The sequence below is a fragment of the Homo sapiens genome, chromosome X (genome assembly GCF_000001405.40).
Source record: "Homo sapiens chromosome X, GRCh38.p14 Primary Assembly".
NCBI classification, from domain to species: domain Eukaryota; kingdom Metazoa; phylum Chordata; class Mammalia; order Primates; family Hominidae; genus Homo; species Homo sapiens.
The window spans coordinates 47651233-47664973 of record NC_000023.11 but is presented as its reverse complement, the minus strand read 5'-3'; the positions used below and the strand labels follow the sequence as shown (position 1 = coordinate 47664973).

At 43.9% G+C, this 13741-nt stretch overlaps 1 protein-coding gene and 1 long non-coding RNA gene across 5 annotated transcripts, besides 7 other annotated features; one reads left to right on the top strand and one right to left on the bottom strand.

Annotated features, from left to right (window-relative positions):
- Window positions 2380-2823: a transcriptional cis regulatory region, noted in NCBI's record as "candidate enhancer chrX.881 targeted for multiplex CRISPR interference". NCBI's record gives its function as "positively regulates ELK1 and UXT gene expression with high confidence in K562 cells {active_cell/tissue: K562}" and the evidence as "EXISTENCE:mutant phenotype evidence [ECO:0000015][PMID:30612741]".
- UXT-AS1 (UXT antisense RNA 1) lies at window positions 4863-6141 on the bottom strand. Its single transcript, NR_028119.1, has 2 exons — window positions 5794-6141; window positions 4863-5079 (listed from the first exon to the last, which is right to left on the bottom strand). It is a non-coding gene; the product is annotated as a UXT antisense RNA 1 (long non-coding RNA).
- Window positions 5445-5946: an enhancer, noted in NCBI's record as "H3K27ac hESC enhancer chrX:47518427-47518928 (GRCh37/hg19 assembly coordinates)". NCBI's record gives its function as "activates a minimal SCP1, AML or CMV promoter by ChIP-STARR-seq in primed H9 embryonic stem cells {active_cell/tissue: H9 hESC(primed)}" and the evidence as "EXISTENCE:reporter gene assay evidence [ECO:0000049][PMID:30033119]".
- Window positions 5445-5962: a biological region, named in NCBI's record as "H3K27ac hESC enhancer GRCh37_chrX:47518427-47518928".
- Window positions 5525-5864: a silencer, noted in NCBI's record as "fragment chrX:47518509-47518848 (GRCh37/hg19 assembly coordinates)". NCBI's record gives its function as "represses an EF-1alpha promoter that drives an FKBP-Casp9 reporter gene in an ReSE screen in K562 erythroleukemia cells {active_cell/tissue: K562}" and the evidence as "EXISTENCE:reporter gene assay evidence [ECO:0000049][PMID:32094911]".
- Window positions 5703-5962: an enhancer, noted in NCBI's record as "active region_29594". NCBI's record gives its function as "activates an Ori minimal core promoter by ATAC-STARR-seq in GM12878 lymphoblastoid cells {active_cell/tissue: GM12878}" and the evidence as "EXISTENCE:reporter gene assay evidence [ECO:0000049][PMID:35858748]".
- On the top strand, window positions 5794-13178 carry UXT (ubiquitously expressed prefoldin like chaperone). Of its 4 annotated transcripts, NR_045560.2 has the most exons (8): window positions 5794-5859; window positions 6038-6144; window positions 7111-7192; window positions 7335-7402; window positions 7684-7791; window positions 10881-10945; window positions 12830-12893; window positions 13079-13178. NR_045560.2 is itself a non-coding variant. In NM_004182.4 (7 exons), the coding sequence occupies exons 2-7, from the start codon at window positions 6047-6049 to the stop codon at window positions 13130-13132; spliced, it is 474 nt and encodes a 157-aa protein (NP_004173.1). In that variant the 5' UTR covers window positions 5794-5859; window positions 6038-6046; the 3' UTR covers window positions 13133-13178. The 4 variants fall into 4 exon arrangements, 2 of the variants coding, with proteins under 2 accessions (NP_004173.1, NP_705582.1); NM_004182.4 differs by lacking the exon at window positions 10881-10945; NM_153477.3 differs by lacking the exon at window positions 10881-10945 and having other exon boundaries at window positions 5794-6144.
- Window positions 5947-6450: an enhancer, noted in NCBI's record as "H3K27ac hESC enhancer chrX:47517923-47518426 (GRCh37/hg19 assembly coordinates)". NCBI's record gives its function as "activates a minimal SCP1, AML or CMV promoter by ChIP-STARR-seq in naive and primed H9 embryonic stem cells {active_cell/tissue: H9 hESC(naive and primed)}" and the evidence as "EXISTENCE:reporter gene assay evidence [ECO:0000049][PMID:30033119]".
- Window positions 6143-6222: a silencer, noted in NCBI's record as "silent region_20812". NCBI's record gives its function as "represses an Ori minimal core promoter by ATAC-STARR-seq in GM12878 lymphoblastoid cells {active_cell/tissue: GM12878}" and the evidence as "EXISTENCE:reporter gene assay evidence [ECO:0000049][PMID:35858748]".

Genomic DNA, 13741 nt, shown 5'->3' with positions numbered 1-13741 from the left:
TCAGAACATTCTTCCAGTGGGTGGTGCTGAGTCACTGAGTCAGGGGCTTTGTAAAATTCCACTGATAAGGGATTTTGTGAAATTCTGCTGGTAAGCCGAATGAGCAAACATAGCTTCTTACATATGGTACTTTGTCTCACAATAACTGAATCGAAAGCTCAGTGAATGGGTTCAAAGGCAGAATGAAGAGGACACAAGAAAGAATCACGAATCATGAAGATAGAACAATAGAAATTACTCCAAACAGCAGAGAAAAGTAGACTGAAAACCAATGAATAGAGCCTCAGGGACTAGTGGAACCAAATATTCGATCATTTGTGTTATCAAAGTCCAGAAAAGAGAAGAAAGAGGAAAGAGCTGAAAAAGTATTCAAAGAAACAATGTCTGAAATTTTGCCATATTTGGCTAAAAATATAAACCTGTTGAATACAGATTCAAAAGGCTAAGCAAACCCTAAACAGGATAAACGTAAAGAAATCCATGCTGAGGCACATCAGAGTCAAACTTCTGAAAACTAAAGTCAAAGAAAATTTTTTTCTTTTTTTTTCTTGAGACAGAGTCTTGCTCTGTTGCCCAGGCTGGAGTGCAGGGGCATGATCTCGGCTCACTGCAACCTCTGCCTCCTGGGTTCCAGCGATTCTCCTGCCTCAGCCTCCTGAGTAGCTGGGATTACAGGCACGTGCCTCCACGCCCAGCTAATTTTTGTATTTTTAGTAGAGATGGGAATTTCACCATATTGGCCAGTCTAGTCTTGAGCGCCTGACCTCAAGTGCTCTGCCCACCTCAGCCTCCCAAAATGCTGGGATTACAAGCCATTATGCCTGGCCTAAAGACAAATAAAAATTCTTGAAAGCAGGAGGAAACGACATCTTATCTACATAAGAAAAATAATTTTAATGACAGTGAATTTCTCATTGGAAAACATGGAAGCCAGAAGGAAGTGGCACAACAGTTTTCAAGAGATGACATAAAAGGAATACCAACCAAGAATTCTTTAGCTGGCAGAAATGTCCTTAGGAATGATGGTGAGATTAAGACATTCTCAGATGAAGGAAAACTAAGAGAATGTGTTACCAGCAGACTTACCTTGAAAGAATGGCTAAAGAAAATCCTTACAACAGAAGGGCAATGATATAAGAAGGAATCTTGGAACATCAGAAAGGAAAACAACAAAAGGAGCAAAAATATCAATAAATAGACTTTATTTTCCCTCTCAAGTTTATTAAATGGTGCTTGATGGTTGAAGTATAAATTACAACATTGAGATGATTCCCAATATAGAGAGAGGAAATATTTATTTAACATTTAATGTTATAAAGGGGGAGGAAAAGGGACTTAAAAGGAGTAAGGACTTTACATTTTACTGAAATTGGTAAGAGAAATAAACAAAATGTGGCATATATGCACAAGGGACTATTATTCAGCCCTAGAAAGGAATAAAGTACTAATAAGTATTATAACATGGACAAATGAAACTTAAAAACATTATACTAAGTGAAAGAAGCCAGGCATAAAAGGCCACATAGTGTATATGATTCTATTTATTGAAATGTGCAGAATACAAAAATTTTTACAGATGAAATTAAATTTGTGGTTGCTTAGGGCTGGGGTGGGGAGAACACACTGAGGAGTGGGTACAGGAGTTCTATTTGGGGTGATGAAAATACTCTAGATTGCTGGGCGTGGTGCCTCACGCCTGTAATCCCAGTACTTCGGGAGGCCGAGGTGGGTGGATCGAATGAGCTCAGGAGTTCAAGACCTGCCTGGGTAACACAGTGGAACCCCATCTCTACAAAAAATACAAAACTTAGCCGGCGTGGTGGCACATGCCTATAGTCTCAGCTACTTGAGGGGGTGAGGCAGGGAGGATCGCTTGCGTTTGAGAGGTTGAGGCTGTAGTGAGCCAAGATCCTACCACTGCACTCCAGCCTGGGTGACAGCGTGAGACCCTGTCTCAAAAAAAAAAAAATTATTAAAAAAATAAAGTTAGATTGTGGTGATGTTTGTACAACTCTGTGAATATATTAAAAACTGCTGAACTGTAAACTTCAAATGTGTGGGTTTTATTGTATGTGAATTACATCTCAATAAAGCTGTTTTTTAAAAACAGATCACAGATTTAAATGTCAAACATAAAATTAAAAAACTTTAAAAATAAAACACAGGAGAACGTCTTTGGGAGCTACGGCTTGTGAAGAGTTCTTAGACACAACAACAAAAGCATGATCCAAAAAATGTTTTTAAATCAATAAACTAGACTTCAAAATTAAATGTGTTTGCTCTAACAAAGACCTTGTTAAGAGGACAAAAAGACAAACTACAGCCTGGGAGGAAATATTTGCAAACCACATATCTGACAAAGAACTCATACCTAGAATATGTAAGGAACTCTCAAAACTCAAGTTTTTTTTTTTTTTAAGCAATCCATTTGGTAAATGAGCAAAGAATGTGAAGAGACATTTCACCATAAAGGACATGTAGATGACAAATAAGCACATGGCAAGATGTTCTACATCATTAGCTATCAGGGAAATGCAGCCTCCCCTGGGCCTTAGTCATTTCTTGCTCTTCTTGGGAAAAGGCAAAGACAGAGACCTATGAGTCAGAGCTGGGGGCAGGAAGTTGGATGGAAAGGAGAGAAGATTCAAATGCAGACATAAGAGACACAGTCCATCTCACATCTTGGAGCTGGAAACAAGCTGACTGTGTCTCTCATATCTCCCAGAAGCACCAGCCTGAAAATGTGCACCCATAAGCCAGGTTAAGAGGTCGCCAGTGGAAGCCAGGGAGACCCACCTGGTTAGAGCCCCAACCTCTGTATTGGTGACAGGCATTGTACAGAGCAGGGGTTGGCAAACCTTTTCTGTAAAAGGCCAGATAGTAAATACTTTAGGATGTCCATACCATGTGGTCTCTTTGGCAACTACTCAACTCTGCCATTATAGCGTGAAAGCAGTAACAGACAATATGTAAACGCATGAGTGAGACTTGTGTTCCAAGAAAATTTTATTAATGGACACTAAAATGCAAATTTCATATAATTTTGATGTGTCACAAAATATTAGTTTTACTTTTCTAAAGCCCTTTAAAGATGTAAATAGTATTCCTAGTTTGCAGGCTATAGGAAACTGTAAAGGGTCAGCAAACCAGGGGCCATAATTTGCTGACCCCTGATATAGAGCTTAGATGAGGAGGTTCACTGTTATGCGTACCACTGTCACTCAACACTTGATTTACAATGCAGTGACCTCCTTTAAATCCATAAATTCAGCCGGGTGAGGTGGCTCATGCCTGTAATCCCAGCGCCCTGGGAGGCCGAGGTGGGCAGATCACTTGAGGCCACAAGTTCGAGACCAGCCTGGCCAACATGGTGAAACCCTGTGTCTATTAAAAATACAAAAATTAGCTAGGCGGCATGGTAGTGTGTGCCCGTAGTCCTAGCTACTCCAGAGGCTGAAGCAGAAGAATCACTTGAAACCAGGAGGCAGAGGTTGCCATGAGCAGAGATCACACCACTACACTCCAGCCTTGGCAACAAAGTGAGACTCTGTCTCAAAAAAAATCTATAAATTCTACTTCTAGGAATTTATCACAAGGAAATAATCATGGCTCCGCACAAAAATTTGACAGCAAAGACTTATCCCATCCTGGTTATAACAACGAAAATATCTGAACACATTCAAATATCCAGTGACAGAGGAGTGGCTCAAAAATCTGAGGCCATCCAAAGAATGGAATGCTATGCAGCCATGTCAACAATTATCCTATGGTCTGGAAAGAAAGCAAATGTGATCAAATATTAACAACGAGTGAATCCAGGCCGGGCATGGTGGCTCACGCCTGTAATCCCAGCACCCTGGGAGGCCGAGTTAGGCGAACTGATTGAGCTCAGGCATTCGAGACCAGCCTGGGCAACATGGTGAAACCCCATTTCTACAAAAAATTAGCTGGGCATGGTGGCTCATGCCTGTAGTCCCAGCTATGCAGGAGGCTTAGGCGGGAGGATTGCTTGAGCCCGGTGGCAGAGGTTGCAGTGAACCGAGATCACACCACTGCATTCTAGCCTAGGCAAGAGAGCAAGACCCTGCCTCTAAAAAAATTTTAAAAATTCAAAATAAAACAACTGGCGAACTTAAGTGCAGGGTATATGAGTGTTCACTGTCAACTTTTCTGTAGGTTTGAAATGTAAAAATAAAGTTGGAAATACATTTTTAAGTAAAAAATTCTTTTTTGTGAAATATAAGTTAATAGACTTACACAGACTCATCTCCAGCCCATCAGAATTGTGTTCTCTGTTAAATAAATATGTGTCTTCTTTTCTCTCTTTTCACAGGAAAGTGGTATAGATTAACTAGATAATATTTTTCTACCTAGTATCTATTCCAATCACACTCAATGTAATTTAAACTATATGTAACATGAGATTTACAGACCAAAAAAACTAATCTCAATGTTTTCATTTTACAATTATCTCGTTCTAAGGGCAAAGAAAAGCTTAACTTGGCCAGGTGTGCTGGCTCATGCCTATAATCTCGGCATTTTGGGAGGCCGAGGTGGGCAAATCACTTAAGCCTAGGAGTTTGAGACCAGCCTGGGCAACATAGTGAGACTCTGTCTCTACAAAAACTTTTTTAAAAATTAGATGGGCGTGGTGGTGTATGCCAGTAGTCCCAGGTACTCCAGAGGCTGAAGCGGGAGGATCACTTGAGCCTGGGAGGTTGAGGCTGCAATGAGTCATGATCATACCACTGCACTCCAGCCTAGGGGACACAGACCCTGTCTAAAAAAGAAAAAAAAGAAAGAAAGAGAGAGAGAGAGAAAGAAAGAGAGAGAGAGAGAAAAGAAAGGAAGGAAGGAAGGAAGGAAGGGCTTAACTTGCTTGGGTTTTGAGCATTTGAAAAAAAAAACTTGCTTTTACATATGAAACACAAATTATCTGGGAAGACTTCCTTGGTAGGGGTGGGTGCTCTAGGCTCTACAGATGGAAATAGCATTTGGGGATTCATCCCATGGTCTGGATTCTTCTCCAGGCAAAGGCCCATTCTTGCTGGGTTATAAGTTCTTGTTTGAAAATCTAACCTGAAAAATAAATTCACTCAGTCACTCTAGTGCATAAGAATAAATTCACAAAAACCTTACCATTTAAATAAAAACATGGGAACTATGCCTAACTACAAGATGGCCAATCTTCGGCAGAGGACTTCAGCCACCCTCTCCATTTGACTATCAAACGAGGTGATTAGACAGAGAGTGTTGTCAATTTCCACTTGAGCCTCACTTATGGGTTGCGAGTGCAGAGCTGGAGTTATCAAAGATGAATTTTAGAAAACCTGTCTCTGTTTAAAACCTTTTAAATGCTTATACTCAGTCCCATTGCCAGGAGTGAAATCCAAACCTCCCGTGTGAAAAATCAATATCCAGGCCGACAGATCACACGGGATCTTCCTTATAGACCAGAACCATAGTCAATTTTTAGGTCCTTTTAAATATTAAACTCTTCACTTCCTCTACCTCCACCTGTGCGTCGCGCCTACCTTAGAACCCGCCAAATCCCATTAAATCCCACCCCCACCAGCCACACACGGTCTCCATAGGCTCCAGGCGCCGCTTTTGCAGTCCCCCATTGGCCGGTTTATTGCCAGACGGCCCCTGCTCGCACGCCCTAGTCTTCTTTGATCTCCTCGGATTCCGTGAAGCCCTGCCCTTCTCTTCTCCCCTTTGGCCCGTCTTCTTCCACTCAGGCCCGCCCCTCCCCAACTGGCTATTTGGTTGGCCAGCGCGCTTGCCACTTACGTCATTCACCCGCGCCACCCGGAAGCCGCGGTTCCTACCAACCGTTCTTATTGCTGGCGGCCTGAGGTAAAGGCCGCGCTTGGGTGTCCCTGGGTGGTCGGGTCCCCGAGTTGGGAGGGGCGGAAGGCTGAACCTCCAGCTTGAGCCGGACAAGCCGATTCCCAGCGTTGAGAGGGTAGAGATGAACTGTGTGTGAGGCCAAACTGGATCGGTCAACATGGTCTTCCCCCTCCCCACTCCCCAGGAGCCCATCATGGCGACGCCCCCTAAGCGGCGGGCGGTGGAGGCCACGGGGGAGAAAGTGCTGCGCTACGAGACCTTCATCAGTGACGTGCTGCAGCGGGACTTGCGGTGAGTGACAGTGCGGGGGGCGGGGCGTTTGGAACATTCCACGTGGTGGGTGGGGCGTTCAAAGTTAGGGCCAACCCTTTGAATTGGCGGGCGAGGCGTTCAGAGTCCGGCCCCGCGCTCCTTGGAGCGAGAAGTGGGGACGACATCCGGGGTGCAGTTTGGCTGGGACGTGGCGTTCATAGCAGGGGCGTGTCAGCGCATGCGCGGCCTCCGATGTTTAACAGATTAAGGCTTGTTTTCTGGAGCCACAGTTCTCGGGTTCGAATCCTGGCTCGGCCATTCTTCATCCTTGTGAATACGTCCTACCTCGCCTTTCTGTGCCCTATAAACTTTACTCTTCTGTGAAATGGGGAGTTTTCTGGAACCTTCCCCATGCAGTGGTTTTGAGTTTTTGATGTGTCCCATCTTTGTCAAGAATTTAGCATGGATGCCTGAAACATAGTAGAGGTTCAATGAGTATGAAGAAATATTATTGCAATCTTTGTTAATCTAAGCAGGAAATAAGGTGTTCAGAACTAGGCCTATGAGCATCCTAAAAGGGATGGAGGATTTTTCTAGGGTGAGGATGGGACATTATGATTGGAGTTCAGTATTGGGAGTATAATAATAGTAATTATAACTAACATGTATATAGAGAGTTTACCATTTGATAAGCATTATTCTAGATGCTTTGTAGTAAACGCTCATTTAATCCTAATGACTCTACAAGGTAATACTGTCATCTGTATTTTATAAATGGGGAAACTGAGTCCCAAACAGGTTATTTACTTGCCAAAGTCACACATCTATAAAGGATAGAGCCCAGATCCAAACCCAGGCAGTCTGACCCAGAGCCGAAAATTAACTTATGCACTAAAAAGCCTTTTCAGTGTATGGTGACATGAGAGTCTCAGAGGGTCATGATATGAGGTATACTAGGAGGAATGGGGCTGCCTATTGGTCACCATTGTACTTTCGTCCCATCAGAAAGGTGCTGGACCATCGAGACAAGGTATATGAGCAGCTGGCCAAATACCTTCAACTGAGAAATGTCATTGAGCGACTCCAGGTAAAGACTATGGGATTGGGTACCATTTTTTTGGTATGTGTGGGCAAGGGAGGGAAATGGGAAGAGAGACTCCAGACCCAACCCTGTCACCTGACCTAAGAGTTCACCACTGACCCCTACCTCTTTTTCCCTGGCCCCACAGGAAGCTAAGCACTCGGAGTTATATATGCAGGTGGATTTGGGCTGTAACTTCTTCGTTGACACAGTGGTGTGAGTGTCTACCCGCCCCTCTGAGCCCACAGGGTTCAGCTTACCCCTTCCCTCATGCAACTTATATTTTTTTGAGTATCTTCTATGTACCAGGCACTATGCGAGGTTTTATATCCCAGTAGGATATAAGCTAGGTGCTGGGGATGTGACAGTGAATAAAATAGGACAAAATCCCTGCCTTCCCAGAGCCTCAATTTGGGGAAGGGTGGGGAGCAAAACATAAACTATGCTAAACAGTGATAAGGACTTCTCCCCACTTCCTCTAACCTCTCTTTCCTCAGCCCAGATACTTCACGCATCTATGTGGCCCTGGGATATGGTTTTTTCCTGGAGTTGACACTGGCAGAAGCTCTCAAGTTCATTGATCGTAAGAGCTCTCTCCTCACAGAGTAAGTCCATTCCATGAGGATAGTGTGTAAAAACACCACCATTTCCAACACTCTTCTCCCTTTACCCATGGCTGCCTGGAATGATACTTAAGGACTCATCTCCCCTCCTCTTCAGAGCTGGGGCTGAAGAAATGGGGTTGCAAAGCCCATGTGTAGCACATAATAAGCACTCAAAAAATGATCTTTGTATTGTTCATTCACGCAAACATTTATTGGGCATCTTCTGTATGCCAGGCACTGTGCTTAGCAGTGGGAATGCAGCAGTGAACAAGACAGAAGAGTTCCTTGAAGGCTTACAATCTAGAAGGACTATACTGTTATACATAAATACAATTATGACCAGATCCATGAGGTCTCAGCCTGTTAGAATTGGTAACAAGAAAACTAGTTACCTATGATTTCACTTCCTGCTAATTTTACTATTCATTCACTGTGTTCCTGCCACACTCACCTTCACATGCTTCTTTCAACACCCCAAGAATGATCCCACCCCAGGGATATTGCTGTAGCTGTTCTCTCTGCCTGCACTGCTCTTTCCCCCAGTACCCACATGGCTTCCTTTCTCCTCACTCACTCGTCTTGCTTAAATGTCACTTCCTCAACAAGGCCCTCTGTAACCTAACTTTCAAATTACAGCCCCTGGCATGCTTGATTCCCCTCCTTCTACTTTTTTTCTACTAACACTTATCACCCCCTAATATTTACTATGTAATTTCTTTCTCATGTTGTCTCCTCCAATTAGAATGTAAGTTTTACAAAGGGGGAGATTTGGTTTATTCCCTTATACCCAGGTGACTAGAGTAGTACAAGCATATAGTAGACACTCTGTGTTTTTGTTTTTAAGAGATGGTGTCTCGCTGTGTTGCCCAGGCTGGAATGCAGTGACTGTTTACAGCTGCGATCATAGCATACTACATCCTCAAACTCCTGGGCTCAAGCAATCCCCTTGCTTCAGCCTGCCAAGTAACTGGGACTACAGGCGCACTGCTGTACCCGGCTTTGTGTTTGTTGAAATAATTTGAAAGGGTATGCTGGAAGCATATTAAAGTGGTTATTGAAGCAGATCTGTGTTGGGGGTGATGGGGAGAGAAAATGTGGGCTCCAGTTGAGTTTAAGGCAGGAGTGTCCAATCTTTTGGTTTCCGTGGGCCACATTGGGAGATTTGTCTTGGGCCATACATAAAATACACTAATGCTAATGATAGCTGATGAGCTAAAATAAAAAAGTTGCAAAAAAAAATCACATAATGTTTTAAGAAAGTTTATGAATTTGTGTTGGGCTGCATTCAAAGCCGTCCTGGACCGCATGTGGCCCACTGGTTGCAGGTTGGACAAGCTTGATTTACGGTTTTGTGCAGGGAAGGGCAGTTGGGAGCATAGATGAGGGATTTGAAATGTAGCTAGGGAAGGCCTCCCAGAGGAAGGGACATTTGAATCATTTGACTGAGTGACAAAGCCATGGGGCTATCTGGCGAAGAGCATTCCTGGCAAGAGGAATAGTGTGCCTGGTATGCTAGTGAAACTACCAAGAGAGGTGAGCTTGGTTTCAATGGAATGAGCATGGGGGCACTGAGCAATACACTTAGATTAACAACATCTCACAAGTGTGAGTACCATTGATTTAAACTTCTTTGTTGGTTGTGTTTTGTGTTTATGTCTGTTCTACATTCATTTTTTCCAGAGTTGCCTCCCTTAGAGTTTCAGTAATTTTTATCTTTTCAAACCTTTCCAGCCATGGGAAGGACTAGCAGGTGCTAGTGGACCCAAAAGAACCTCAGACCTGCTGAGATTTCTGATTCTTGGTGTTCAGACCAATTAGCAAATAGTTTAATTAAACGGCCTGCTTTCATGGTCAACACAATTCTGAACTGGTGGTCATTTAGACCAAGTCCACTTTGTTTTTGAGACGGAATTTTGCTCTTGTCGCCCAGGCTGGAGTGCAGTGGTGCGATCTTGGCTCACTGCAACCTCTGCCTCCTGGGCTTAAGGGATTCTCCTGCCTCAGCCTCCCAAGTAGCTGGGACTACAGGCACCCACCACCACTCCCGACTAATTTTTGTATTTTTAGTAGAGACAGGGTTTTGCCATGTTGGCCAGGCTGGTCTCAAACTCCGACCTCAGATGATCTGCCCACCTCAGCCTCCCTAAGTGCTGGGATTGCAGGTGTGAGCTACCGCGCCCAGCTAAAGTCTAGTTTGTATAAGAAGGCTTTCCTTGTTATGTCACAGGATTCCTGAGCCTATCAAATAGATTTTAATGTTTTGAGACTCCACGTACTTCCCCAAAATGAAGTATTTAAATTGTCAGTGCCTGCCCCCTTGCCTGGTCTTTTTGATGTACTGACCTGGTCTGTTAGTGTGATGAAAAATATGGTTGAGTCTTACTGCTTTATTGTAATTAGTAGGACTGTCTAGAAGTTTAATTTTTCTAAGAGATGAAGATTTGAGTCTATGTAGCTGGCTGTCCTTTAAAAATATTTGGTTACTTGGGATATACTTTGAACTAACTTTCTGGTCATTTTATGTGATCAAAAGTGTCAGTTCTTCCTGTTCTTAGTATATTTCTTTGTTTGGGAAGTGGAAGGGATGAAATCTCTATATTCTTTCCTGATGACACAGAAAGGAGTACACATCCACATCTCATGAATAGACATGTAATTATAGAAGAAACAGCCTAACGGCCGGGCGCGGTGGCTCACACCTGTAATCCCAGCACTTTGGGAGGCCGAGGTGGGTGGATCACGAGGTCAGGAGTTCAAGACCAGCCTGTCCAAGATAGTGAAACCCCGTCTCTACTAAAAATACAAAAAATTAGCCGGGAACGGTGGCAGGCGCCTGTAATCCCAGCTACTTAGGAGGCTGAGGCAGGAGAATCGCTTGAACTCGGAGGGTGGAGGTTGCAGTGAGCCGAGATCACGCCACTGCACTCCAGCCTGGGCGACACAGTGAGACTCCATCTCAAAAAAAAAAAAAAAAGCATAACCATATGACTATTCACACTGCCTTACATACTAAATCAGTAGTAATTTGCTTCTCACATAGCAAATAAAAATAAATCAGCAGTAATAAACATATCCCTTTTGTGTTACAGCTAGCATTTGGTGAACTCTGTATTTTTCTCCCTTTTAAAGTGTTGAACTCATAGGTTTTCATAAGGTAAGCTTACACCATTAACTAATTTTGTTCTCTTTTTTGATGTTAAAATTGTCCCTTAGGAGCTGATCAGGTTCATTCTTCTGTTCTTTAAGCATTACCCCCAGAATATTCTTGAAAGTATTCTTGCTCTCTGGCAACAACACCCATACTTCATTTATTTCCTGTCCCTAAACATACACTCAGCCAACCTCAGGTTCCTTTTAATGGAGTAGTCACTTATTCATTCAACATACGTTGGGTGCCTCCTCTGTGCCACACACTGTTCTGGTCCCTGGGGATAGAGCAGGAAACAAAAAAAAACAAAATCTGCCCTCATACAGCTGACATTCTAGTCAGGGGAGACAAACAATAAACAAATGAATGATGTAGTATGTCAGATGTTGACAGTGCTATGGAGAAAGCATATCATGGAGATCAGAAGCATTACCTGCAATGGAACAGTCATGATTTTAAGAAGAATGGCTGACTGGATGTGAAGTGTGAGAGAGAGGAGCCCAGGTTTTTGGCTGAGCAACTGGAGGGATGGAGTTGCCATTATCTGAGATGGAGAAGTTAGGGGAGGAGTAGATTTGGAGGGGAAGGTCAGGAATTTAGTCTGGAACCTGTTAAGTATGAGGCACTTATTAAACACTGAAGTGGATTTTTAGAAGATGTCATTAAAACTAGTCAAGTTCAGGAGAGAGTTCTGGGCTAGAAATAAAAATGTGGGAGATATTGGTATATACATGGGTTCATACTACTTTTTTTTCCAATTTAACATCCTATCTTATTGCTCTCTGCTTTTCCAACAGTATTTAGTTTCATTTACCCCTCAAACTGACTCCTACATTGACAGCACAATAAAATCCACATTCCTTATTATATTAAGACCCTGTGTGATCTAACCTCTTCCTATCTCTTGGACCTTGTCTTAGGCCACTTTCCCTCCCCACTCAATTTCTAACACTCTGACCTCACTGCTTCTCAAACAGCTCTTTGTTGCCTCTTGTCCTTTTTGTGGAAAAGGCCTTCCTACTGCTTAACCATTAGGCATTCTTCGATTCCTTCTCATTCTTCATTCTTGAGAAAGGCCTTCCTTGACCCTTTATATCAATTAGGATTCTTTTGGGCGAGATCTGATCCAAACTGGCTTAGAGAAAAGGAGTCAACTGACTGGTTCATGTAATTCAACCTCCTTCCTCTGCTGCAACCTTCCCTTGGCTCCCATCTCACTTAAGGTCAAAGCCAGGGTCCTTACCATGGCCTTGTAGGCTTCACACAGTTTGTCTCCCTCATTACCTCTCTGACCTCACCTCTTACATTCCCCCTTCACTTATTCTTCTCCAGCCAGAGTGGCCTCTTTGCTGCACCTCAAACATGCCAGGCACACTCCCACCTCAGTGCCTTTGTGTTTGCTGCCCCTTGTGTGTGGAACACATCCTCCATATAGCCACACTACTCAAAATTCACTGTCTTTAAGTCTTTACTCAAATGCTTCTCCGTGAAGCCATCCCTGAGCCCTCTTTAAAATTGCAGCCCCCCACTCCTGTACTCCTTATTGTCTCTCATTTTTAATTTTTGTTATTGTAGTTAGAACCATCTGACACATAGCTTTTATTCCATTGGTTTTTTGTTATGTCTTTCTTTACAAGAATTTGAAGTCCATCAGGCCGGGAGTTTTGTTTGTTGTGTTTGCTGCTATCTCCCAGTGCCTAAAATTGCCTGGCATACAGTAGGCATTTAATAATCTTTGAATCAGTGAAAACCAGATGGTGGCTTGGCATTTCCACATAGGAATGAGCCAGGTGGAAATCATCCAGGATATAAGTAGATCTTGAAGTGATAAGGAAGGGTCATCATAATCATGTGGGGCCCATTTTGCCCTTTCTTGTTTCTTTTCTCTAGGCTCAGCAACAGCCTCACCAAGGACTCCATGAATATCAAAGCCCATATCCACATGTTGCTAGAGGTGAGAGCAGCTCACCCCACTACCAGACTCTGTGTTTAGGGTGGTGACCTGAAGAAGGAAGAGAGCGAAAGAAGGGAAGGACCATCTTTCCCTCTAAACTGGAGTCAAGGGAGGGAGGTCAGAGCAAGCCTGGGGGCGTAACCCAGACCCAGTCTTTGTTCAATCTCTTCTGTCCTCTTTTTCAGGGGCTTAGAGAACTACAAGGCCTGCAGAATTTCCCAGAGAAGCCTCACCATTGACTTCTTCCCCCCATCCTCAGACATTAAAGAGCCTGAATGCCTTTGAGTCACATGGCCCTTCTTTTTCCCCATAAACCCTGCTAGTTGCCACGGGGGCCTGTTCCTAGGGCACAAAGTTACTGAGAGACCCAGAGATCCAGTCTCTCTGTGGAACCTCCAAAATGCCCCAGCAGTCCTGCCTCCAGCCTGTTGCCTGGCAGTATTTGCCAGTTGACCTTATGCACTGCCCTCTCTTCTGTCATCTTGGCAACCTGGGCCCCCCACCTCACCCTTTCTTCCATTCCTTTTCCTAGACGCCACCCTTTGAATTGCCATAGAGAATGGGCCAATTCATGGTGGAGGTTTGTTCATTCCCACAACAATCAAAGGGCCCTAAGGTTTACGCTTTCACACACCCAATCATTCCCCAGGTACCCCAAATTACACCCAAACCCTAACTCAGCCCTACCTTGTCTTAGCCCCTGCTTGTAAGTGTTCCAGCTTCCAATGGGCACAGACCTGGATCCCGCTCTCCCTAGTCGGGCCCCTATTCTAGGTTGAGTCCAGCCACCGCCAATCAATGCAGAGCCAGGTTCCTCCCCTTTTTAACTCTGGCCGCAGTTCAACCCT